The sequence below is a fragment of the Homo sapiens genome, chromosome 11, assembly GCF_000001405.40.
Source record: "Homo sapiens chromosome 11, GRCh38.p14 Primary Assembly".
Lineage (NCBI taxonomy): Eukaryota > Metazoa > Chordata > Mammalia > Primates > Hominidae > Homo > Homo sapiens.
The window spans coordinates 86,510,539-86,537,038 of NC_000011.10; the positions used below are offsets into that span (position 1 = coordinate 86,510,539).

Below are 26,500 nucleotides of genomic sequence, written 5' to 3' on the forward strand. Positions count from 1 at the left end.
TCTATAGACCAGCGTTTCTCACCTTTGGCACTATTGACATTTTGGGTTGGATAATTCTTTGCTGTGAGGGGTGTGGTTGTCCTGCACATTGTAGCATGTTTGGCAACATCCTTGGCCTCTACTTTCCAGATACCAATAGCACCTCTCACTACATTGTGACAACCAAGAATATCTCCAGACGTTGGCAAATGTCCCCTGGAGGAAAAAAATTATCCCTGATTTTAGAGCCACTGCACTAGACCTTTTATTTAACTGCCTACCTGATATTTCCCTGTGCATACCTCAAAGGTACTTCAAACTTAGCATGTACCAAACCAAATTTATCATCTAATCTTCCACCATTATGACTCAAAGACAAGAAAAAACAAAGACTCAAGACAAAACTGATTCTCTTTCCTACTCCCTTTCTCAGTGAATATTTCCCCGACATAACTAATTTAACAATTCCAACCCCTTGAAATCATCCTTGATGGTCTCCTCCCTTCTTTTATACAACCCGTTGCCAAGTTCTTCATTTGTACTTTCTAAATAACTCCTGGTTCAAACACTTCTTTCATCAGTAACACTACCTCCTTTATCCACGCTTCCAATATCTGTTGCCTGAAGTGCTGCAATAATCTTGTAACATCCACTCTTGCCTCTCTCCTATTTTCTATATGCTAGTGAGAGTGATGTTCTTGAAATCAATGACTCATTGTTTTACTTCTTGTGCTAAAAATAGAATAAAGACCAAAGTCCTCAACACGCCTACAGAATCTTGTCTGGGTCTTGCCAACTTCCTTACTTCATCTTGTTCCACTCCTCTTCTCACTCCACACTCTTCAGCCACACTGGTCTTTTTCCATTCCTTTATGTGCCATGTTCTTCCTACTCCAGTGCTACTTTGAAACCGCCTTTGCAAAGATTATGACAGTGAGAGAAATCTAGCATGGCTGACTTCATTTTGCTTCTAGTCTCACAGGCTGGCTGTCCTCACTCATTATTGGGCAGGGCCAGGCTAACCATGGGAGGAATTTAGTTTCTAATTTAACTTTGAAGCAAGTGTGATAATAGTCTCTCCATGAAACTGATCCCTTCCTTGTTCAGTTTTGGGGGCTGAAACTGCCTTTGTAAGACTAAGGAAAGGCCGCAAGATTAGGATTATGGAAAGGGCCTGACCTCTGCTGAAATGTAGGCATAGTTTCTATAATCCCTTACTGCTCAACAGCCATGTGGCTCGAGGTCACAAGATTTTTGACTTCCCTAGTTGCTCCTGTAGATAACATCACTATTGTAGGACCTAAGATTGGTCTTTTGAGATGTTTTTCAGATTTTTGCATTCTGGCAACCAGCTGACCCCACCAAGACCCATGACTCATGACTCAAATGGTCCTGTGGCCCCTACCTGGAGGTGGACTCAGTGCGCAAGAACCATTTTCCACACTCTTATCATTTCATCCCCAATCAGCAGTGCCCATTCCCTAGCCTCCTGCCCACCAAATTATCCATAAAATCCCTAGCCTCTGAGTTCTCAGGAGGCTAAGCCACTCCCTCCTCTCAGCTGCCTTGTGTTAATTAAACCCTTCCTTTACTGCAATACCATGGTCTTCGTGAATTGCTTTTGTCTGTACAGTGGGCAAGAAGAACCCATTGGGCAATTACAAGTTCACATACCATTCCTTCTGCCTAATACGCATGCTTCTCCTCACTCTTTAGTTAATTCATACTCATGCTCTTGATAACTTCCAATTCAAAGTAGAGGCTCTCTCCTGTATGCTCTCAAAGTACTCCATCCCTACATAAACAAACTTGTCACATTTATTTGTGTGGCTATTTGATTAATAATCCCCATCGCCCTCATTAGACTGTGAACTTCAGAGGGCAAAGTGTGCATCTATTTTTGTTGTTATTATTCACCACTATATCCCTAAACTTAGTCCATAATAGATGTGCAATGCACAATTTCTGAATAAATGGAAAATGGATACATTAAAGATGATAATGATAGTTGAGGGATGAGGATGAAAAGTGTTGAATAAAGCTGGAAGAGAGTTGGAACAAAGGCAACTTGTGTGTGTGCTATGTTGTATCATGTTCAAGGGATCATGTGGGTTGTGCTGTTGCCTGTGGCTTAGAGCAGGAAAATAAGCATGTGGAGATGGTAGATGAACCAGGAAAGAGGAAAACACCAGACTTTAAGACTTGGGGAGTGCAGGGCTCCATTTACCGCACTAAAGTGGGGCAGGGTAGGTATTTGAATTAACTTACTCATAAGGTTTGAGAGCAAGGTCCAGGTGAAGGGTACCAGAATATGCCATCCTAAAATGTGTCTGTTTGACCTGTAGATTATTTTGAGCTAAAGACCATCTAGAATAACCAGAGGCAGGAAAAGCTCTAAAAACAGGGCACAAGTTTTTCTTTTGTAAAGGAAATTTACTTCTGTAAAGGAAATCTCCACTTGAAGAGATGCCTCCTTCTCTCTTACCAGGAAGAGGAAGACTCTTAACAACTCTTATCAATGGAGAAGGCAAACAAAGGGGTAAGATCCATGCACTATTTTAGACCTTACCAAAGCTCTGGTGTGGTTAAACACAGGATAGGTGTGAATACTTAAATTATCTGTGTACATTAAAATAGGCCCTCTTTGTTGAAGATAAGAAGGAGAGAGAGGAGGGACACTTAAAATGAACATTTTTACATTTAAGTTTGAGCTACTAAAATTTCAAAGTTCTTTTTTCTTTTTCTATATGTATAATTTCATGCTCTGCTCTGCAAAAATAACACCTTTTGAAATGTGTTAAGAGCTTTTAACCACTTCTCAAAGTGCTTTTCCATCTATTGCCTAAACTGCGGCTAGCTACAAAGGATTTTGAAAGGATTGCCCTGGCTGGGGATTTTGAGATGTCTAGTCCAAAGACTTTATTTTATAAATAAGGACACTAAAGTCCAGAGAGGTGAAGTCACTTGTCCAAGGTCACACAGCTCATAAGCAGCTGGGTCCACCTGAACCAGGATCCTGAGTCCGATGCACTTTCCACTAATGCAGAATATTGGTTTTCTCAAGGATCTAGTTCTTGACAGACACCTAGAGGTGGGAATTGTACCAAACAGAAATGCACATTGGGGTCCCTAATAGTTTTCTTTGAAGTATATTGAGGAAGTAAAATGTGCGGGGCTAGGGATTATGATGATAAGCAAATGTATTGCAGGTGCCAGTCAGAACCTTGCCCATCCTTCCATTTCCTGGTAGTACTGCATCTAAAGCAGCTCAGAGAAGATATAGTACCCCCAGGGAAGAATACCTCTTCAATGACCTCAGCAATGTATTTACAGATTTAGCCTATTTTCACTCAGAAGATACCATTTTCTCCAGCAGTAACTAGTGATGGGGTTGGTTCTTATCTGTTTCCATGATGATATGGTGGTTCTGGGTCCCCACCCAAATCTCATCTTGAATTGTAATCCCCACGTGTGAAGGGAGGAACCTGTAATCCCCACATGCAGAGAGAGGGAGGTGAATGGATCATGGGGGCAGTTTCCCACATGCTGTTCTTGTGATAGTGAGTGAGTTCTCATGAGATCTGATGGTTTTATAAGCATCTGGCATTTCCCCTGCTTGCATTTCTCTCTCCTGCAACCTTGTGAAGAAGGTGCCTGCTTCCCCTTTGCCTTCCACCATAATCATAAGTTTCCTGAGGCCTCCCCAGCCATGTGGAACTGCAAGTCTATTAAATCTCTTTTCTTTATAAATTACCCAGTCTCTGTTATTTCTTTATAGCAGCATGAGAATGGACTGATACACATGAGATTCTGATCACCTGAGAAATGCAGACACTAACCCCTCTGCATTCCTTCTTAGTGGCTTCAGGAAGAATATTTAGGTGCCTCAGGAGGTGCTCCTACCTAGGCCTGCTTAGTTTCACCCTGAGATCTCAGACCCACAGGAGTTCCTGAGGCTGGAATGGGGATTTTCAAGTGATTTCCAATCATACAAAGCACTGACAAGTGATGAGGCTTCAAACAACTCAAGTGATGGTTCACAGAAATGTTAGAGAGAATGTAGCATAGACTAGGGGTTTAATGTATGTGCTTTGCAAATGCAGGCTCGAAACCCAGCTCTATTACTTCCTAGCTACATGGCTATGAGTAAGTTACTTCCCTTCTTCAAGCTTCAGTTCCTCATGTGTAAAATGGAAGAAGTGACACCACCTGCACCATACACTTATTTGTTACAATGATTAAATAAGTCAATGTATCTTTAAAAAATACATTACAGTGTCTGCTGGCCCATAGTAAATACATAACAAATGGTAGCTGTTAGTGTTGCTGATCTTAGTTCAGAGGTTAAAAGTGTGGGCTCGGGAGTCAGATCGCCTGGGCTCAGATGCTGGCAAAATGTCCAGAGAGATATTTGGCTCATAGTAAGTATTTGGTAAATGTTTGTAAATAATTACAAATTAGTGTTTTAGCTAGAATCATCCATTTTAGTATGCATGTTTGTCAGGAGCCATGATGAATAGTTATGTGTGTTACTGAAATAAGAAGACGGTTGTAAATAAAGTATGGCAGGTAGAAAATCTTTCATTATATGGGTCACTGAGTAGGAACAAAATATAAGGATCTTTGGTGATGCACAATTGGGACTAATTTTCCATGTTCCCCGCAAAAGCTAATATTCAGTGAGAAAGAGATCAAGGGAAAACATGTCACACACAAAAAGGCAACATTTATTTTTATTTAATGAGCTTTTTTTGAGTATCTCTGTTCCAGGGACACTGGCAGGCCCTTTATGTACATTGTCATAATGCTCTTGCAACACTATCCAGAGGGCATCGCCATCATTTTACAGATGAGATTAAGAGGTAGATCTGTGAAGGTGGAGGTGAGATTAGAACACAGGGCTCTTAGATCCCAGAAACATGGCCCCTATAGGTGTGTGACTTGGGACTAGTCACTTCACCTCTCTGTGCCTTAGTTTTCTCAGCTGTAAAATGGGGACATTGGTTTCTCCATTACGGGAATGACTGTGAGAATCAAACAAGGCAAATTTGCAAAATCTCTGCACACTGTAAAACCCTGTAGACACTTGAATCTTAATATTTGTCTAACCTCGTCCAGTCTGGTAAGTCTGAAGGGGGTGCTAAAGTGAGCCTCCCTGAGATCCCGCTGATATGGTTTCCTGGCAGCTCTTTACGGATGATTGGGGTAGTCATTTAGGTGCCAAGGAGCTCTCTGTATTCCACAGCTGGGTCTGTTTCAATCTTCTCTCCTTGAGAATGAGTCAAAACCCCTTTGACAGCTAATGTGACATGTTTAAAGTGGTATTATCCTGCTCTGAGGCACAATGGGAGGCAGGAAGGTGGGAAAACACAGGAAGCCGCAGGCCAGGCTCTGCAGAGGTGCAGAAACATTTCCAGCTTTTGAGCAAATTATAGGCTGCCCGGGGATCCCAAGGCACTAAACATCCTGCAGTGAGTTACTGCAATCTGAACACTCATCAAGGCTAATGACTCCTCTGAGTCATTAGAATGCAACTTCTTTTGCTACTCCTAGAGCTGAGAACATGGGCATCTGGAATAGAAGCAGTCATGGAAATCTTGCTTTTAATAGCCATTAACTGGAACAGGACAAAAACAAAAATAATTTTAGCTACTGATTACTTCTCCCAAGTTTTTCCTGTTTACTTCAGGGAATCAATTTTGGAACTTGAGGGATGGAAAAATATATGGTGGATATGGCATGCTACCTACCTATGGAATCCAGGGTTTAAACAAATAGATGTCTTGCTTTACATAAAATACAGTTTATTCCTGAAAAGTTGTGAGTAAATAAAATCTCTCTCTCTCTCTCTCTTTGTGTGTGTGTGTATATATATATATATGTTTTGAGAGATGGAGTCTCACTCTGTCACCCAGGCTGGAGTACAGTGGCATGATCTCTGCTCACTGCAACCTCTGCCTCCCAGATTCAAGTGATTCTCCTGCCTCAGCTCCCCAAGTAGCTGGGACTACAGGCATGTGCCACTATGCCCAGCTAATTTTTTGTATTTTTAGTAGAGATGGGATTTCACTATATGTTGGCCAGGCTGGTCTTGAACTCCTGACCTCAAGTGATCCACCCACCTCAGCCTCCCAAAGTGCTGGGATTACAGGCATGAGCCACCGTGCCTGGCCTAATATCTATATCTAAAATTATATTGTATGTGTACTCAGGAGGTTGCTGTTTAAAGGGAAGCTACAGGGAATTGCTCAGGAACATACATCACTGTCCCCTGATTCATGGCTTTCACATTTGGACTTTCCTACTTTCATTTCCAAAAAAGACCACAGGTTCTCTCTTAGCTAGTGCTTGGTCATCAGGGCCCACTGACCAAATGAGTGGCCAGAGAAGGGGCATGGCTTCTGCTGCATGGAGCTTTGGGTTAAGTAGGCAGAGAGGGAAGGGAATGGTCATTTAACAAAAATTGCACGGAGTACCTGATCTATTCCTTCAAATACTTATTTCATTTGGTCTGAAAGGCATATTTGTTATGGGCTGTTCATCCTGGAACAGGGTTAAAACTTCTTTCTGTCCTTCGTGGAAGCAATTCATTCTGTTCTGTAAATATATTCTGTTCTCTCTTGCAAGCACAAGGCAGGCTGCCCTTCCATGATTTGTTGAAATAAAGCACAGCCCGGTGACCTGCTTTGGCCAATAAAATGCAACATGGCACCTCTGGGTGGGAGTGTTTCAGAGTCAGTGTGATTTACCATCTTCTCTTTTTCTTTTTGCCACATAACCTGTAGAGTTCCAGATAAGACTACTTCATTAGCCTGCATCCAGTGTGAGGGTGACATAGAGCACAGTCCCTAGATGTGGGGGTCAGAGACACATGGTGCAGAGCACAGAATAAACTGTGCTTTAGGCATTGAGATTTTAGGGTTGTTTGTTCCTCAGCATAATATGGCTAAGAAACATTTTGTTTGTTCAATAAAGATGTCCAGAGATGCTCAGTTCCAATTTAATCAGAGCTCCAACCTGTCGACATGTTGGAGCTCTGATTAAAGTAGAAGTGAGGGAACCCCCTTTTTGAGGGACTTTGCACTGCTTTTCATCTCAGCATCCACTGTTCTTTCAACAGACCTCTGGCAATGAGAGCAAAGGAAAAGAATTCCTTGTGGGAAATGATGCTATGACACTGGGAGGTAGTAATTGATATTTAGGAAATTATATCTCTGATGCATATCTCCTTCCACTAGACTCATGTTCCCTGAGGGCAGGATGACATTTGTTCCCAGGGCCTAGCGTAGCACCAGGCACATGGCAGGTACTCTATAAGTGATGTATGTGTTAGGTATGGTAAGTTGTTCAGAATATGGGTGCTGGAAGGAGGCAGAGCTGGGCCTTTATTTTGACAGTTGTAAACTAGGCATATAATAATGTTTACTTCAAAGTATTTCTATGAAGATTAAATAAAAGAATATATATCAGGAACATGACCTAGGGCTTGGCATGTGGTAAATTCTCCAAAAGCGGTAGCTGATATTGGTTACTTATGGTAGAGAGTGGAAAAACACCCAAACCTTTTCTGAGTGAGAAAAATTTCCAGCCATTTGAGTTATATCCCTCAGGAAAATATGTTGAAATTTGAAGTTGTGAAGGCTGTCCCATCCTCAAATATGCCATCTCGTTAATTGATTATTTAGAGTTGAAAACACTTGGAGAAATTGTAGTTTCAGAAAGGGAGAGCTGACCTGTCTTTTCCTGCATGTAGCCTATGATAAAGATTCCTCTGGGAGGGGTAACCTCTCCATACCAGGTGAGAAAATGCCCTTATCATGAGAGACTTGGAAATGGAGGCTGCGATCGACTTGAATAAACATACTTAACAAAGTAACGCTTATCATCGGCCACCTGTTTTACATTCCCCATATATCTTCCAGTGACTCCCCTAGGAAATTTACTACGCCCAGCCAGATTTTCTTTGTCCTGTCATTTCTTCTCGAATTTATCATTCTTCATCCAAAATGCACAAAAGCATCTTGCTTTGGCCACTTCTACAGACTTCACTCTCTTAAGATCTCCATGTATATGTAAAACTAACACAATTTGTGTATTTTTCTCTTGTTTATGTGCCTGGTGTCAATTTGACTTCTAGAACCAGCTGAAGAGCCCACTAAAAGCTATAATGGGGTGGTGGAGGTGATCTTCAGCTCTCCACAAATTCTAATGTCGGGTGCCTGTGACCCTATTTGGAATAGGGTCTTTGCAGATGTGGTCAAGATGAAGTTAGTGTGGGCCCTAATCTAAAAGCACTGGTATCCTTATAAGAAGAGGAGAAGACAGGGACATGCAGGAAGAAATAGCCAAGGGATGATAGAAACAGAGATTGGACTGATGCATCCAGAGGCAAGGAATGCCAAGGATTGCCAGCAAATAACAGAAGCTAGAAGGGGCGGCAAGGAGTGTCCCCCACAGGTGTCAGAGGGAGCACGACCTGCTGACACCTGATTTTGGACTTCTTGCTGTTAGAACTATGAGAAAATAAATTTCTGTTGTTTTAAGCCATCCAATTTGTAGTATTTTGTTACATACAGTAGCCCTAGGAAGCAAATATGCCAACCATCCAATTTTTGTGTAGTAGCTATGAGTAGTGGTGATATCACAATTCCTTCCCTGTACATTTCTTAAAGCTCAAAGTCTGTTGGAATTTCATCAAGGCAAGTGTAAGTGAAGTTTCCTCCATCTGACAAAGGCATGCAAATTACATCACTATCTTCAGTTTCCATCAGGAGCCAGAAAAATCCTCTTGAATGTTTGAATTCAGTTACACGAGAGAGAAAGAAAAACAAAGATAATGTTCACTTAGGAGAATGTTATTTCTTGAGAAAAAGACTCTTAACCCTTATCTCGGCCTGTAGAAGAGTGATTCTTGCAAATTTCCTAAAATAGAATTGAAAAAAGAACCCTGAACAACACCCACTCAAGTAGACATGTTCATTTAGGCTTCTTGGCACCAAGTCCAGCAATAAAGGGCTTAATTAAAACAGAGTCAGTGACATTAGGCAAACCCCTGCAGCTGGGCTCAGGAGGAGGGATATGCACTTTCAACTCTAACAAAGGCTCGCTGTTGCCAATGGAACCACCATTCCACATATTTTTTGGCAGGAAGGGAACCTGTCCTCTGAGAACCTGCAAGATGCTATTTTTAGAGCTCAGTAGCAGTCTCCCAGAGGCAACAGTACAGCAAGAAAACATAGCTAGGTCTAAGAAGCCCAGGAAGCAGATCTAAGAAATCCTCGAAGGCTGTGTAGGCCTGGAGGGCAGAACTGGAGAGACTCAAGTGAGGTAACTGTCCATGCCTTGGAAGAGCTTTAAAATCACACTTTCCACTGCTTTCTGTGGAACGTCCTCAGGGACGTGTGACTGAAGTGCGGGATGGGGTGGCCACAGACAACTGAACATGTTAGTGGTGGTTCACTCATAATCCTTCTTTGGTGTTATTTTCTATCCTGAAGAATATTTTGATTATTTGAACCCACTGAACAACCATAGCTAACTTCCTGTACCTTGGAAAGCCTATCCTGTTCGCCTCTGAGGTGGGAAGTTACAGAGGGAGTGGCTATGTCCCCCTCCCAGCCCCATGGAGGCCCCCTTTCCTTCTGACCCTCCCAGATAACCAGTGGATGTGGAGTGCTCCTGACTTTAGAGCCCAGGTGTAAAGGTGTGGACCCTGACATCTGTCCATGTGACTCCATCAGTGGGACCTCCCTGGAATGGATGGGGGTTCCTCAATTTCCCACACTTGAGATTAACAAGTGCTTAGGCCCTGTACTGATTTCATGCATTCTGCTTTGCGCCAGGCATTGTGCTGAGTACATGGAAAACAAGTGTGAGCAAGACTTCATCTCTGATCCAGAGTGGTTTTCTGATCTAGTCAGATCAGAAACAAACAAACAAAAAACCCCAAAAAACCTTGCAATGGGGTATAACAGAAACATTATTTGAAGACCAACGAGAATTAGAGAACAAGCGGGCCCAGAATGGCTAATTCACAGAGTGCTAGAGAGCTGCAGAGCTGGGCCTGGAGTCCCTTCTAGGGCCCCTTGGCCCTGCCCTTTCTCTGCCTCCCTCTTGTTCCTGCAGGATGATTTTCCTCCAGTAGACTTGAAGCTCAGAAGGGCAGGAACTGTATCCTCCACTTCCACTGATTGCATGGGTCCCCTAATGCAGCCCTGCAAACATAGTGTTTACTTCAGAAAGGGATTTCTGCATAGATGGTCTATTCCTTTCTCTGAATGTGAGAATGGAGCATTTAGAACAAGGGCAATGTAAGTTTTTCTACGACTATATCTAACTATGTGAGTTTGGGAAAGTTACCAGACCTCTCTGAGCCTGTTCCTCAGTCGGTAAGATGAAGAAGGTAGAACAGATAACTTCCAAAACTCTAGAGTTCCATGACTCTAATCTACCAAGGCACGCAGTTATCTGTGACTCGGAGCTAGACAGACCTGGGTTCAAAGCCCAAATCCAACCCTTATTTATTGTGCAACTTTGGCATATTATTTAACTCCACCGAATCTCCATTGCTTATTATTAAAATGTAGCTGTGGCCGGGTGTAGTGGCTCACGCCTGTAATCCCAGCACTTTGGGAGGCCGAGGCGGGCGGATCACGCACGAGGTCAGGAGATTGAGACCATCCTGGCTAACACGGTGAAACACTGTCTCCACTAAAAACTACAAAACAATTAGCCGGGCGTGATGGCGGGCGCCTGTAGTCCCAGCTACTTCAGAGGCTGAGGCAGGAGAATGGCGTGAACCCAGGAGGCGGAGCTTGCAGTGAGCCGAGACTGCGCCACTGCACTCCAGCCTGGGCGACAGAGCGAGACTCCATCTCAAAAACAAACAAACAAAACAAAACAAAACAAAACAAAAATAATAATAATAATAATAATAAAAAAATGGAGCTGTAATCATTAAATCTATCTCACTAAGCTGGTGTGAGCATTAAATAAAATAATACATGTACAAAGTCAGTCGTAAAGGAGCCTCTCTTTAAATTTTCAGGTGGAATTTAAGAAATGTTTGTCAAAGGTATGAATGTCACTGCCTCTCCAAGAGACACAGAATTTCATGCTATGGTTCATGGACAGGGCAACCACATACTTTAGTTTCCCTGTGTCTTGACACAATTATTAACACAATTATTTATTTTTCTTTTCACTCTCAAAAACTCACTGATCTGTAGATCCAGTCTACTAATTTCAAAACTACATTTTCTAGGTGTCTACTATAGAAAGTCAAGCTCATTCTCTTAGCATTATTTTGAGTCCTTTCCCTGTGTAGTCATTAATTAAAATCCTGGTAATAACACAAAGCCTCTGTGAAGTGGCTTACAGTTGGCCATCCATATCCACAGGTTCTACATCTTGGATTCAACCTACTGTGGATTGAAAATACTAGGAAAAAAGGCCGGGCATGGTGACTCATACCTGTAATCCCAGTACTTTGGGAGGCCGAAGTTGGTAGATCACCTAAGGTCAGGAGTTTGAGACAAGCCTGGCCAACATGGCAAAACCCCATCTCTACTAAAAATACAAAAATTAGCTGGGTGTGGTGGCACGCACCTGTAGTCCCAGCTACTCAGGAGGCTGAGGTAGGAGAATTGCTTGAACTCGGGAGGCAGAGGTTGCAGTGAGCCAAGACTGCGTCATTGCACTCCAGCCTGGGTGACAGAACAAGACTCTGTCTCAAACAAACAAACAAACAAACAAACAAAAAACCAGATTAAGAAAAAAAGGCCAATTAAAAAAATGGTAAAAAATAACACAAATTAAAAATGTAGTGTAATGACTATTTTTTTCTTTTTTTTTTTTTTACATTAGGTTCTAGGATATATGTGCAGAATGTATTGTTACATAGGTATACATGTGCCATGGTGGTTTGCTGCACCTGTCAACCTGTCATCTAGGTTTTAAGCCCCACATGCATTAGGTATTTGTCCTAATGCTATCCCTTCCCTTACCCCGCCCCCTCCTTGACCCGCCGACAGGCCCCAGTGTATGTTATTCCCCTCCCTGTGTCTGTGTGTTTTCACTGTTCAACTCCCACATGTGAGCGAGAACATGTGGAGTTTGGTTTTCTGTTTCTGTGTTAGTTTGCTGAGAATGATGGCTTCCAGCTTCATCCATATCCCTGCAAAGGACACAATCTCATTCTTTTTTATGGCTGCATAGTATTCCATGGTGTATATGTGCCACATTTTCTTTATCCAGTCTATCACTGATGGGCATTTGGGTTGGTTCCAAGTCTTGTAACAACTATTTACGTAGAATTTACATTGTATTAGATATAGTAAGTAATCTAGAGATGATTTAAAGTATATTGTAGGATATGTATGTTATATGCAAATACTATACCATTTTATATCAGGGATTTGAGCATCCATGGATTTTGGTATCCGGGGGGAAGGGGGTCTGGGAGGTTGATTATATATCACCCACAGTCTTTTGCCCTTCATGACTTTTTGGTAGTCTTCAATTCACTCTTTGCCAAACTCTATGGAGGGAGACTTAAAGGTGTTAAACCAGCAAACCTCAGTCCTACTGTTGGCTCCTTGAAGACCTGATCTTTGGACTGAGGCAAGTCATGTCATTATTGCCTTAGTTGCCATATGTAAAAAGTAAGAAAGAAGAAAAAAAGAAGCCAACATTTATTTAGCTCCCATTGGGAACATTTTATAAATGCTATGCCATTTACTTACTGCCACAAGTCTGGGAGGTATATGTTGTTGTCCTCATTTACACCTGAGATTAACGAAGCTCAATAAAATGAGGTAATATCACTGAGGTAAGTTGGCAAAGTAGTAAGGGAAAGCAGGTAAGAAACCATTGTGCCTTCTTGCCTTTCTTGTTGGAGTTTCAGGTGATGATTGTAAAACACTAAGCCCTATAGAAGACAGGCTTCTATTAACACAGAGAAAAACTGAAATAGGTTTCTAATTGTTTGTACTCTTTTTTTTCTTCCTGGAATTTGCAAATCTCAGATATTGCTCTATCCTCTTTTTTGATTATGAGATTTTATTTTTGGCAGAAAATAATTGTTCCAGTTGAGTTCCAAGAGTTGAAAGAGTTTCTCCATCTGTTCTTCTTGAATAAGAAGAATGCTGATAAGGTGTGCAAATAGCTGAAGAAGTATACATGCAATTTTCACTAAAAATCGTGAGTACATGGAAAAGCTGATGAAGAAGGCCTTGAACCTCCATCACATCATTAGCTGACTGAACATTTTATAATCAGGAGGGGGAAAAAAGGCGGAATAGAAGGAAATTTCAGCTGAAATTGACACCTCTGTCCAAATAGAATATCACTTCAGAATCTAAAAATTCTAATTCCACAAGTCACAGATGTTTCCAATTAGAACAGAGAAAGTTAATGTAGTTTCAGCTGTTACTTAGAATATTAAAATGTGCCAAGAAACTCAGAGAGAGTTGGTACAAAGAAGTTTCTTTTTCTACTAAAATATTTACTCCTTCAGAAATAATAATCAGAGGCTTTAGGCCCCTTTCCCTGAAAAGTCACACTTAACACTCTTCACTTTCTTTTATGGCTGTGAACATGGCACAGACCCACACATGCCTCCACTTTATAAAACAAACACCTTCCTGACGTCTAGAAGGCCTCTAGTGAATCTGGGTCTCTGGGCAGTAAGTTGTTTGGAATGTGTCTCTGTTCTAATACAAACATTTGATATCCAAAGCAAATAATCATCAAACCTGCGATTCTGAAATTACTGTCCCCCTGACTCAGAGGCGCAGCCAATGAGTCATTTATTTACATGTAACTACAAGATAAGGAGAGAAAAACATCCTATCTGCTTGTTTTTCCAAAGCAGGTTTGAGAAGTAGTCACACATTTTTTTCCACTGAATCATAAATCTGCAGCCTCAGTTTAAGAAATAGGCTAGGAGCTCAGAACCCTGTGAAGATACACCAAGATAATAGTCCCCTAAACCAAGAAAAAGCTGAAATTGTAAAAGCTCGAATCCATTTTATGCTAGCATTTATGAGGCAGTTCTATGGGCAGGCATCTGAGTCCTATCCTGAAGTAATTTGTAAGTGGAAGACCCCACCCACTTTAATTTACCAGATAAACATTTCTGGAGCTATCATTGCATATTAGTTATGAAAGCTGGAATTTAATAAGAGAGAACAGAATGCAGTTTTCAAAGTGCACAGAAGTTCACTGGGAAAACATATGCTTAAACTTCAGGGACCATGATCCCTGGAAGCAAATGTAAGAGACAGCTAAGTGCCTGGAATTATATGTCTGAAAGGATTACTCATCAGATGCAATTAAGCAGGGGGAAGGGGAGAAGCACACATTTGATCTAATGTGTTGTTTTGACTAAGTTCCGCCTCCAAACTACAAATCCCTCGAAAGGAAGGAATCTCAGAACATTCAAGATCAGGAAAGTTAAAGGCCAAAAAAGTATTTGCTTTGAAATGATTGAGAAAAGATGTGTGTGTCTCTGGTCAGGGATAAGTTCCAGTGAGACCCACTCCAACTTGCAAAACATTGATATTATTGGGAAGCTTCAGAGCAGACAGTCAGACAGACTTAGACCCAAATTCTAGGTCATCTGGTTAGTAGTGACCTTGACAAATGACTACAGTTGAGCCTCAGTTTTCTCATCTGTAAAATAGGGGCAATGAAATGTTTCCAATAGAGCAGTGACAATTAAAGATAATATATGAAAAGTAGTGAGCACAATGCCTGATACATTTCTATTCAAATACCTAATTCTTTGAAGAAAAGTTTCTAACAGAAACTTTTGATGTTGACAGAAAACAGTCAAACCACAACAGCAAGAGAGGAAGAAAGGAACAGAGGATCCACAAAATAACCAGGAAACCATTAAAAAAATGGCAGTAGTGAGTCCTTACTTATCAATAATTACTTTGAATGTAAATGAATTAATTCTCCTATCAAAAGGCTAACGTGGCTGAATGGTTTAAAAAAAAAAAAAAAGACCCACTATATTTTGCCTACAAAAGATTCAGTTCACCTTTAAGAACACACAGAGGCCGGGTGCAGTGGCTCACGCCTGTAGTCCCAGCACTCTGGGAGGCCAAGGTGGGTGGATCACCTGAGGTCAGGAGTTCAAGACCAGCCTGACCAACATGGTGAACCCCATCTCTACTAAAATACAAAAATTAGCCGTGTGTGGTGGCAGGTGCATATAATCTCAGTTACCGAGGGAGACCGAGGTAAGAGAATTGCTTGAACCCAGGAGGCAGAGGTTGCAGTGAGGTGAGATCGTGCCATTGCACTCCAGCCTGGGCAACAAGGGCAAAACTCTGTCTCAAAAAAAAAAAAAAAAAGGAGAGGGTGGAGCCAAGAGGGCCTAATAGGAACTGCTCCAGTCTACAGCTCCCAGCGTGAGCAACAGAGAAGACGTATGATTTCTGCATTTCCAACTGAGGTACCGAGTTCATCTCACTGGGGAGTGTCAGAAAGTGGATGCAGGACAGTGGGTGCAGCGCACCGAGCATGAGCCGAAGCAGGGCGAGGCATTGCCTCACCCAGGAAGCACAAGGGGTCAGGGAGTTCCCTTTCCTAGTCAAAGAAAGGGGTGACAGACGGCACCTGGAAAATCGGGTCACTCCCACCCTAATACTGCGCTGTTCCAACAGTCTTAGCAAATGGCACACCAGGAGATTATATCCCGTGCATGGCTCGGAGGGTCCTATGCCCATGGAGCCTTGCTCATTGCTAGTACAGCAGTCTGAGATCAAACTGCAAGGTGGCAGCGAGGCTGGGGGAGGAATGCCCACTCTTGCTGAGGCTTGAGTAGGTAAACAAAGCAGCCGGGAAGCTCGAACTGGGTGGAGCCCACTGCAGCCCAAGGAGGCCTGCCTGCCTCTGTAGACTCCACCTCTCGGGGCAGGGCAATGCCAAACAAAAGGCAGCAGAAACCTCTGCAGACTTAAATGTCTCTGTCTGACAGCGTTGAAGATAGTAGTGGTTCTCCCAGCACACAGCTTACATCTGAGAATGGCCAGACTGCCTCCTCAAGTGGGTCCCTGACCCCCAAATAGCCTAACTGGGAGGCAACATCCAGTAGGGGCAGACTGACACCTCACATGGCTGGGTACCCCTGTGAGACAAAACTTCCAGAGGAACGATCAGGCAGCAACATTTGCTGTTCACCAATATCTGCTGTTCTGCAGCCTCTGCTGCTGATACCCAGGCGAACAGGGTCTGGAGTGGACCTCCAGCAACTCCAACAGACCTGCAGCTGAGGGTCCTAACTGTTAGAAGGAAAACTAACAAACAGAAAGGACATCCACACCAAACCCCATCTGTACGTCACCATCATCACAGACCAAAGGTAGATAAAACCACAAAGATGGGGAAAAAACAGAGCAGAAAAACTGGCAACTCTAAAAATCAGAGTGCCTCTCCTCCTCCAAAGGAACGCAGCTCCTCACCAGCAATGGAACAAAGCTGGACAGAGAATGACTTTGACAGGTTGAGAGAAGAAGGCTTCAGATGATCAAACTACTCTGAGCTAAAGGAGGAAGTTCGAACCCATGGCAAAGAAGTTAAAAACCTTGAAAAAAGATTAGACAAATGGCTTCCTAGAATAACCAATGCAGAGAAATCCTTAAAGGACCTGATGGAGCTGAAAACCAAGGCACGAGAACTACGTGACGAATGCACAAGCCTCAGTAGCTGATTGGATCAACTGGAAGAAAGGGTATCAGTGATGGAAGATCAAATGAATGAAATGAAGTGAGAAGAGAAGTTTAGAGAAAAAAGAATAAAAAGAAACGAACAAAGCCTCCAAGAAATATGGGACTATGTGAAAAGACCAAATCTATGTCTGACTGGTGTACCTGAAAGTGACGGGGCGAATGGAACCAAGTTGGAAAATACTCTGCCGGATATTATACATGAGAACTTCCCCAATCTAGTCAGGAAGGTCAACATTCAAATTCAGAGAATGCCACAAAGATAATCCTTGAGAAGAGCAACTCCAAGACACATAATTGTCAGATTCACCAAAGTTGAAATGAAGGAAAAAATGTTGAGGGCAGCCAGAGAGAAAGGTTGGGTTACCCACAAAGGGAAGCCCATCAGACTAACAGCTGATCTCTTGGCAGAAACTCTACAAGCCAGAAGAGAGTGGGGGCCAATATTCAACATTCTTAAAGAAAAGAATTTTCAAGCCAGAATTTCATATCCAGCCAAACTAGCTTCATAAGTGAAGGAGAAATAAAATACTTCATAGACAAGCAAATGCTGAGAGATTTTGTCACCACCAGGCCTGCCCTACAAGAGCTCCTGAAGGAAGCACTAAACATGGAAAGGAACAACCAGTACTAGCCACTGCACAAACACACAAAAATGTAGAGACCATCGAGGCTAGGAAGAAACTGCATCAACTAACAAGCAAACTAACCAGCTAACATCATAATGACAAGATCAAATTCACACATAACAATATCAACCTTAAATGTAAATGGACTAAATGCTCCAATTAAAAGACACAGATTGGCAAATTGGATAAAGAGTCAAGACCCATCAGTGTGCTGTATTCAGGAAACCCATCTCACGTGCATAGACACATATAGGCTTAAAATAAAGGGATGGAGGAAGATCTACCAAGCAAATGGAAAACAAAAAAAGGCAGGGGTTGCAATCCTAATCTCTGATAAAACAGGCTTTAAACCAACAAAAATCAAAAGAGACAAAGAAGGCCATTACATAATGGTAAAGGGATCAATTCAACAAGAAAAGCTAACTATCCTAAGTATATATGCACTGAATACAGGAGCACCCAGATTCATAAAGCAAGTCCTTAGAGACCTACAAAGAGACTTAGACTCCCACACAATAATAATGGGAGAGTTTAGCATCCCACTGTCAACATTAGACAGATCAATGAGACAGAAAGTTAACAAGGATACCCAGGAATTGAACTCAGCTCTGCACCAAGTGGACCTAATAGACATCTACAGAACTCTCCACCCCAAATCAACAGAATATACATTCTTTTCAGCACCGTGCCACACCTACTCCAAAATTGACCACATAGTTGGAAGTAAAGCACTCCTCAGCAAATGTAAAAGAACAGAAATTATAACAAACTGTCTCTCAGACCACAGTGCAATCAAACTAGAACTCAGGATTAAGAAACTCACTCAAAACCGCTCAACTACATGGAAACTGAACAAACTGCTCCTGAATGACTACTAGGTACATAACAAAATGAAGGCAGAAATAAAGATGTTCTTTGAAACCAACGAGAACAAAGACACAACATGCCAGAATCTCTGGGACACATTCAAAGCAGTGTGTAGAGGGAAATTTATAGCACTAAATGCCCACAAGAGAAAGCAGGAAAGATCTAAGATTGATACCCTAACATCACAATTAAAAGAACTAGAGAAGCAGGAGCAAACACATTCAAAAGCTAGCAGAAGGCAAGAAATAACTAAGATCAGAGCTGAACTGAAGGAGAGAGAGACACAAAAAACCCCTCAAAAAATCAATGAATCCAAGAGTAGTTTTTTGGAAAAGATCAACAAAATTGATAGACTGCTAGCGAGACTAATAAAGAAGAAAAGAGAGAAGAATCAAATAGACGCAATAAAAAATGATAAAGGGGATATCACCACCAATCCCACAGAAATACAAACTACCATCAGAGAATACTACAAACACCTCTACGCAAATAAACTAGAAAATCTGGAAGAAATGGATAAATTCCTCGACACATACACCCTCCCAAGACTAAACCAGGAAGAAGTTGAATCTCTGAATGGACCAATAACAGGCTCTGAAATTGAGGCAATAATTAATAGCTTACCAACCAAAAAAAGTCCAGGACCAGATGGATTCACAGCCGAATTCTACCAGAGATACAGGGAGGAGCTGGTACCATTCCTTCTGAAACTATTCCAATCAATAGAAAAAGAGGGAATCCTCCCTAACTCATTTTATGAGGCCAGCATCATCCTGATACCAAAGCCTGGCAGAGACACAACAAAAAAAGAGAATTTTAGACCAATATCCCTGATGAACATCGATGCAAAATTCCTCAATAAAATACTGGCAAACTGAATCCAGCAACACATCAAAAAGCTTATCCACCATGATCAAGTGGGCTTCATCCCTGGGATGCAAGGCTGGTTCAACATATGCAAATCAATAACTGTAATCTAGCATATAAACAGAACCAAAGACAAAAACCACATGATTATCTCAATAGATGCAGAAAAATTCAACAAAATTAAATAACCCTTCATGCTAAAAACTCTCAATAAATTAGGTATTGATGGGACATATCTCAAAATAATAAGGGTTGTCTATGACAAACCCACAGCCAATATTACACTGAATGGGCAAAAGCTGGAAGCATTCCCTTTGAAAACTGGCACAAGACAGGGATGCCCTCTCTCACCACTCCTATTCAACATAGTGTTGGAAGTTCTGGCCAGGGCAATCAGGCAGGAGAAGGAAATAAAGGGTATTCAATTAGGAAAAGAGGACGTCAAATTGTCCCCGTTTGCAGATGACATTGTATATCTAGAAAACCCCATTGTCTCAGCCCAAAATCTCCTTAAGCTGACAGGCAACTTCAGCAAAATCTCAGGATACAAAATCAATGTGCAAAAATCACAAGCATTCTTATACACCAATAACAGACAGAGAGCCAAATCATGAGTGAACTCCCATTCACAAATGCTTCAAAGAGAATAAAATACCTAGGAATCCAACTTACAAGGGACATGAAGGACCTCTTCAAGGAGAACTACAAACCACTGCTCAATGAAATAAAAGAGGATACAAAAAAATGGAAGAACATTCCATGCTCATGGATAGGAAGAATCAATATCATGGAAATGGCCATAGTGCCCAAGGTAATTTATACATTCAATGCCATCCCCATCAAGCTACCAATGACTTTCTTCACAGAATTGGAAAAAACTACTTTAAAGTTCATATGGAACCAAAAAATAGCCTGCATTGCCAAGACAATCCTAAGCCAAAAGAACAAAGCTGGAGGCATCACGCTACCTGACTTCAAACTATACTACAAGGCTACAGTAACCAAAACAGCATGGTACTGGAACCAAAACAGAGATATAGACCAATGGAACAGAACAGAGCCCTCAGAAATAATGCTGCTTATCTACAACCATCTGATCTTTGAGAAACCTGACAAAAACAAGAAATGGGGAAAGGATTCCCTATTTAATAAATGGTGCTGGGAAAACTGGCTAGCCATATGTAGAAAGCTGAAACTGGATCCCTTCCTTACACCTTATACAAAAATTAATTGAAGATGGATTAAAGACTTAAATGTTAGACCTAAAGCCATAAAAACCCTAGAAGAAAACCTAGGCATACCATTCAGGACATAGGCATGTGCAAGGACTTCATGTCTAAAACACCAAAAGCAATGGCAACAAAAGCCAAAATTGACAAATGGGATCTAATTAAACTAAAGAGCTTCTGCACAGCAAAAGAAACTACCATCAGAGTGAACAGGCAACCTACAGAATGGGAGAAAATTTTTGCATTCTACTCATCTGACAAAGGGCTAATATCCAGAATCTACAAAGAACTCAAACAAATTTACAAGAAAAAAACAAACAACCCCATCAACAAGTGGGTGAAGGATATGAACAGACACTTCTCAAAAGAAGACATTTATGCAGCCAAAAGACACATCAAGAAATGCTCATCATCACTGGCCATCAGAGAAATGCAAATCAAAACCACAATGAGATACCATCTCACACCAGTTAGAATGGCCATCATTAAAAAGTCAGGAAACAACAGGTGCTGGAGAGGATGTGGAGAAATAGGAACACTTTTACACTGTTGGTGGGACTGTAAACTAGTTCAACCATTGTGGAAGTCAGTGTGGCAATTCCTCAGGGATCTAGAACTAGAAATACCACTTGACCCAGGCATCCCATTACTGGGTATATACCCAAAGGATTATAAATCATGCTGCTATAAAGACACATGCACACGCATGTTTATTGTGGCACTATTCAGAATAGCAAAGACTTGGAACCAACCCAAATGTCCAACAATGATAGAATGGATTAAGAAAATGTGGCACATATACACCATGGAATACTATGCAGCCATAAAAAATGATGAGTTCATGTCCTTTGTAGGGACATGGATGAAGCTGGAAACCATCATTCTGAGCAAACTGTCACATGTTCTCACTCATAGGTGGGAATTGAACAATGAGAACACATGGACACAGGAAGGGGAACATCACACACCGGGGCCTATTTTTGGGTGGGGGGAGGGGGGAGGCATAGCACTGGGAGATATACCTAATATTAAATGACGAGTTACTGGGTGCAGCACACCAACATGGCACATGTATACATATGTAACAAACCTGCACATTGTGCACATGTACCCTAAAACTTAAAGTATAATTAAAAAAAACCAAACCAAAAAAAAACCAGAAACTGAAAGTGGAGGGATGGAAAAAGATATTCCACGCAAATGTAAACCAAAGAAGAACAGGGTTAGTTATATCAGACAGAACAGTATAGATATTAAATCAAAAACTGTAAAAAAGAGACAAAGAAGATCATTATATAATGATAAAGGAGTCAATTCATCAAGAGGGTGTAACTTCTATAAATATATTTGCACCTAACCTTGGAGAACTTAAATATATAAAGCAAATATTAAAATATCTGAAGGGTGAGATAGACTGCAATACAATAATAGCAGAAGACCTCAATCTCCAACTTTCAATAATAGACAGATCAGACAGAAAATAAATAACATTCGACTTGAATTACACTTTGAACAAAATGGATCTACAGATATATACAGAACATTTCTTCCAACTGCAACAGAATACACATTCTTCTCCAATGCATACAGAACATTCTCCTGGATAGATCATATGTTAGGCCATAAAACAGGTCTTAACAAATTTAAGGATGTTGAAATCCTATCTATGGAAAGTATCTTTTCTAATCACTATGATATAAAACTAGAAATCAGTAACAGGAGGAATTTTGGAAAATTGAAATACGTGGAAATTAAACAACATTCTCTGAACAACCCTTAGGTCAAAGAAGCAATTTAAAAAGGGAAATTTAAAAATATCTTGAGATAAATGAAACTGGAAACATAGCATAATGTAACATATGAGATGCAACAAAAGCAATTCTAAGAGGAAAGTTTATAGCAATAAACTCCTACATCAAAAAAGAAGAAAGGGCTCTGGCGTGGTGGCTTACGCCTGTAACCCCAGCATTTTGGGAGACCAAGGTGGGCGGATCAACTGAGGTCAGGAGTTCCAGACCAGCCTGGCCAACATGGCAAAACCCCGTCTCTACTAAAAAATTAGCCGGGCATGTTTCAGGCGACTGTAATCCTGGCTACTCAGGAGGCTGAGGTGGGAGAATCGTTTGAACCCAGGAGGCAGAGGTTGCAGTGAGCTGAGATCGCATCATTGCACTCCAGCCTGGGTGACAGAGCAAGATGGGGTCTCCAAAAAAAAAAAGACTCACAAACAAGTAACCTAATCTTATACCTCAAGGAACTAGAAAAAGAAAAAACTGAGCCCAAAGTTAGCATAAGAAAGGAAATAACAAAGATAAGAACAGAAGTAAATAAAGACTAGAAAAATAATAGAAAAGATCAACAAAACTAAGAGTTGGGTTTTTTGAAAAGATAAGCAAAATTGACAAACCCTTAGCTATACTATGAAAAAAAGAGAGAAGACTCAAAATCAGAAATGAAAGAGAAGATATTACAGCTGATACTACAGAAATACAAAAGATCATAAAAGACTGTTATGAACAATTATATATCAAAGAATTGGATAATCTACAAGAAATGGATGAATTCTTGGCAACATAGTACCTGCCAAGACTGAATCATGAAGAAATAGAAAATATGAACAGATCTAAGAGTGAGTAAGGAGATTGAATCAGTGATCAAAAGTCAACCATCAAAGAAAAACCCAGGACCAGACAGCTTCACTGTTGAATTCTACCAAATATTTAAAGAAGAGCTAATGTCAATCTTTCTCAAATTCTTCCAAAAAGAGGAGGAAATACTTCCAAACTCATTTACAAGGCCAGCATTACTTTGATACTAAAGCCAGACGAGGACACTACAAAGAAAAGAAGACTACAGGCTAATATCCTTGATGAACACAGATATAAAAATCTTCAACAAAATACAGTCACAGTGGATGTATGTTTTGGAAAATGCATAATTAGACAATTTCATCATTGTGTGAACACTGTAAAGTGCACTTACACAAACCTAGATGGTATAGCCTATTACACACCTAGGCTACATGATATAGCCTATTACACACCTACGCTACGTGGTATAGCCTATTACACACCTAGGCTACGTGGCATAGCCTATTGCTCCTAGGCTACAAACATGTACATCATGTTACTGTACTGACTACTGTATGTAATTATAACAAAATAGTAAATATTTGTTACTATCTGAACACCCAAACATTAAAAAAGTATGGTAAAAATGAGGTGTGTGTGTGTGTGTATATATATATATATATATATATATATATGTAAAATGGTGCACCTGTATAGGACACCTAAAATGAATGAAATTTGCAGAACTGGAAGTTGCTCTGGGTGAGTCAGTGAGAGATGAGTGAATGTGATGACCCAGGACATTACTGTATACTAATGTAGACTTTATAACACTGTATACTTAGGCTACACTAAATTTTTTTCAAAAAAAATTTCTTTAATAATAAATTAACCTTAGCTTACTGTGACTTTTCTACTTTATACACTTTTAAGTTAATTTTTTTCTCTTTGACTCTTTTTAAATAACACTTAGCTTAGGCTGGGCGAGGTGGCTTACGCCTGTAATCCCAGCATTGTGGGAAGCTGAGGCTCACAGATCACCTGAGGTCAGGCATTCGAGACCAGCCTGGCCAACGTGGCAAAACCCCTCCTCTACTAAAAATACAAAAATTAGTGGGGCAGGGTGGCGCATGCCTGTAATCCCAGCTACTCGGGAGACTGAGGCAGGAGAACTGCTTAAACCTATGAGGTGGAGGTTGCAGTGAGCCGAGATCATGCCACTGCACTCCAGCCTGGGCAACAGAGCAAGACTATATCTCAAAATAATAATAATAATAATAATAACACTTAGCTTAAAACACACGCTGCACAACTGTGCAAATATTTTTTGTTTCCTTATATCCCTATTCCATAGGGATACAAAGTGAGAATAGTTGAGTGGACTTCCACTTGGGTTTGCTCTCTGAGGCTTTTGTTTTCCCAGGGTAATGTTTAAGAAAATATGGCCCATCTGTTACTTGTGTGGAGAATAAGCTTCTTGCAGGAGAAGAACTTGTAAGTAGTTTTAAAATGGAGAGTTTGGGCCCTACTCCTGACACAGTGAATCAGAATTGGCAAGAGAGCTGGAGTCTAATTTTTCATAAGTGAATTCTTAACGAAGGTTTAAAACCACTGGCCTAGGTAGAGGTTTACTCTCAAACACTGCCCTCTCAGTTCAATAATCAAAATCATTTACCTATTTATCTTAATTATTTTAGCCAGCATTTTACCTGTATTTGTCCTGCTATTACTTGAATTCAAGCTTCCTGCATCTTTGTCTAGTAAAAGGTAATTTTCTCTGCTCCTTACTACTTCTTACCTCCACTCCCACCCCCTTACAATCCAAGGAGGTTCACCCTACCTTCATCTGTTCTTCCAGTCAGTAAAAATGTTACCATGCCAACATCACATCTATGTCGTCCACTTGGCTGCACGTGGGAAGCACAGATTGGCTTATCCAGGGTTCATCCTGCAGCAGCAGGCCAGGGCAATCTATGGAACCTCATTTGTGATGAGGACTGGACATTATTATTAATTTTCCAGAACCAAGGATTCTGGAAGTGTAGGACATAATCTCATTTCACTCTAGCTATTGATTTCTCCCCAGCTGATAGGCTGGATTTGGGGATAAAGTTACTTTGCAAATAAGGGATAAAGTCTATCCTTTATCCTGGTAACAGAAACTTTTTGAAAGTACTTTTATCTCGCCATCCTAGCATTTAAATCCAATTAAGTTTCAGAAACATTTACTGAGTGCCCACTAAGCCCTATGCAAGTCTTCTTGCTGAAGATCCTTAAAGGAATTTTTACACTTTTTACATTTACTTTTTACATTCATGTTTTAAAAATTTAACATGCAATGCATTTTAAACAAAGTTATAGAGTTAGAGCTCTGTCTTTAAGTAGGGAGCCATGGATAATAGAAGCTCACTCCTCTAGGATTCTATTGGAAGTCATCAGAAAAATAAAACTTCTTCTATCTATCCACTACTCCTTCCATCCATCCTTCCTTCCATCTGACAAGAACTGTATGGAAGGCCCTGTGCTAGCTGCTGGGTATAAAATGATGAGCAAACAAATTTGTCTCCTGACCACTGGAAGTTTATAGCTTAGTAGCAGAAAGAGTCCTGGAGGCAAATAGAAACTCCAACCCTAGATTCAGCTATATCTCTATTTGTACAGGTTTGGGGAGTCAGTGAATTTCCTGAATTGTCTATTTCCTTGTGTGGAAGGGGGCTGCCTTGTCTGTTGCACAGGGCACTTGGCAGCATTGTATTTGAGTTCACCCTGGAAGAAAACCTAGGCATTACCATTCAGGACATAGGCATGAGCAAGGACTTCATGTCCAAAACACCAAAAGCAATGGCAACAAAAGACAAAATTGACAAATGGGATCTAATTAAACTAAAGAGCTTCTGCACAGCAAAAGAAACTACCATCAGAGTGAACAGGCAACCTACAGAATGGGAGAAAATTTTCGCAACCTACTCATCTGACAAAGGGCTAATATCCAGAATCTACAATGAACTCAAACAAATTTACAAGAAAAAAACAAACAACCCCATCAAAAAGTGGGCGAAGGACATGAACAGACACTTCTCAAAAGAAGACATTTATGCAGCCAAAAAACACATGAAAAAATGCTCATCATCACTGGCCATCAGAGAAATGCAAATCAAAACCACAATGAGATACCATCTCACACCAGTTAGAATGGCCATCATTAAAAAGTCAGGAAACAACAGGTGCTGGAGAGGATGTGGAGAAATAGGAACACTTTTACACTGTTGGTGGGACTGTAAACTAGTTCAACCATTGTGGAAGTCAGTGTGGCGATTCCTCAGGGATCTAGATCTAGAAATACCATTTGACCCAGCCATCCCATTACTGGGTATATACCCAAAGGATTATAAATCATGCTGCTATAAAGACACATGCACACGTATGTTTATTGCAGCATTTTTCACAATAGCAAAGATTTGGAACCAACCCAAATGTCCAACAATGATAGACTGGATTAAGAAAATGTGACACATATACACCATGGAATACTATGCAGCCATAAAAAATGATGAGTTCATGTCCTTTGTAGGGACATGGATGAAATTGGAAATCATCATTCTCAGTAAACTATCGGAAGAACA

The 26,500-nt window shown here is 40.9% G+C and overlaps 1 protein-coding gene across 21 annotated transcripts in view, besides 1 other annotated feature; it reads right to left on the reverse strand.

Moving 5' to 3' along the window:
- Window positions 1–26,500, reverse strand: part of ME3 (malic enzyme 3) — a 237,687-nt gene that overhangs the window by 75,609 nt on the left and 135,578 nt on the right. The gene's annotated exons all lie outside the window — the stretch shown is intronic.
- Window positions 12,945–14,144: an enhancer, noted in NCBI's record as "MED14-independent group 3 enhancer chr11:86234525-86235724 (GRCh37/hg19 assembly coordinates)". NCBI's record gives its function as "activates an origin of replication core promoter dependent on BRD2, BRD4, P300/CBP and CDK7 cofactors, and independent of MED14, by STARR-seq in HCT116 cells {active_cell/tissue: HCT116}" and the evidence as "EXISTENCE:reporter gene assay evidence [ECO:0000049][PMID:35650434]".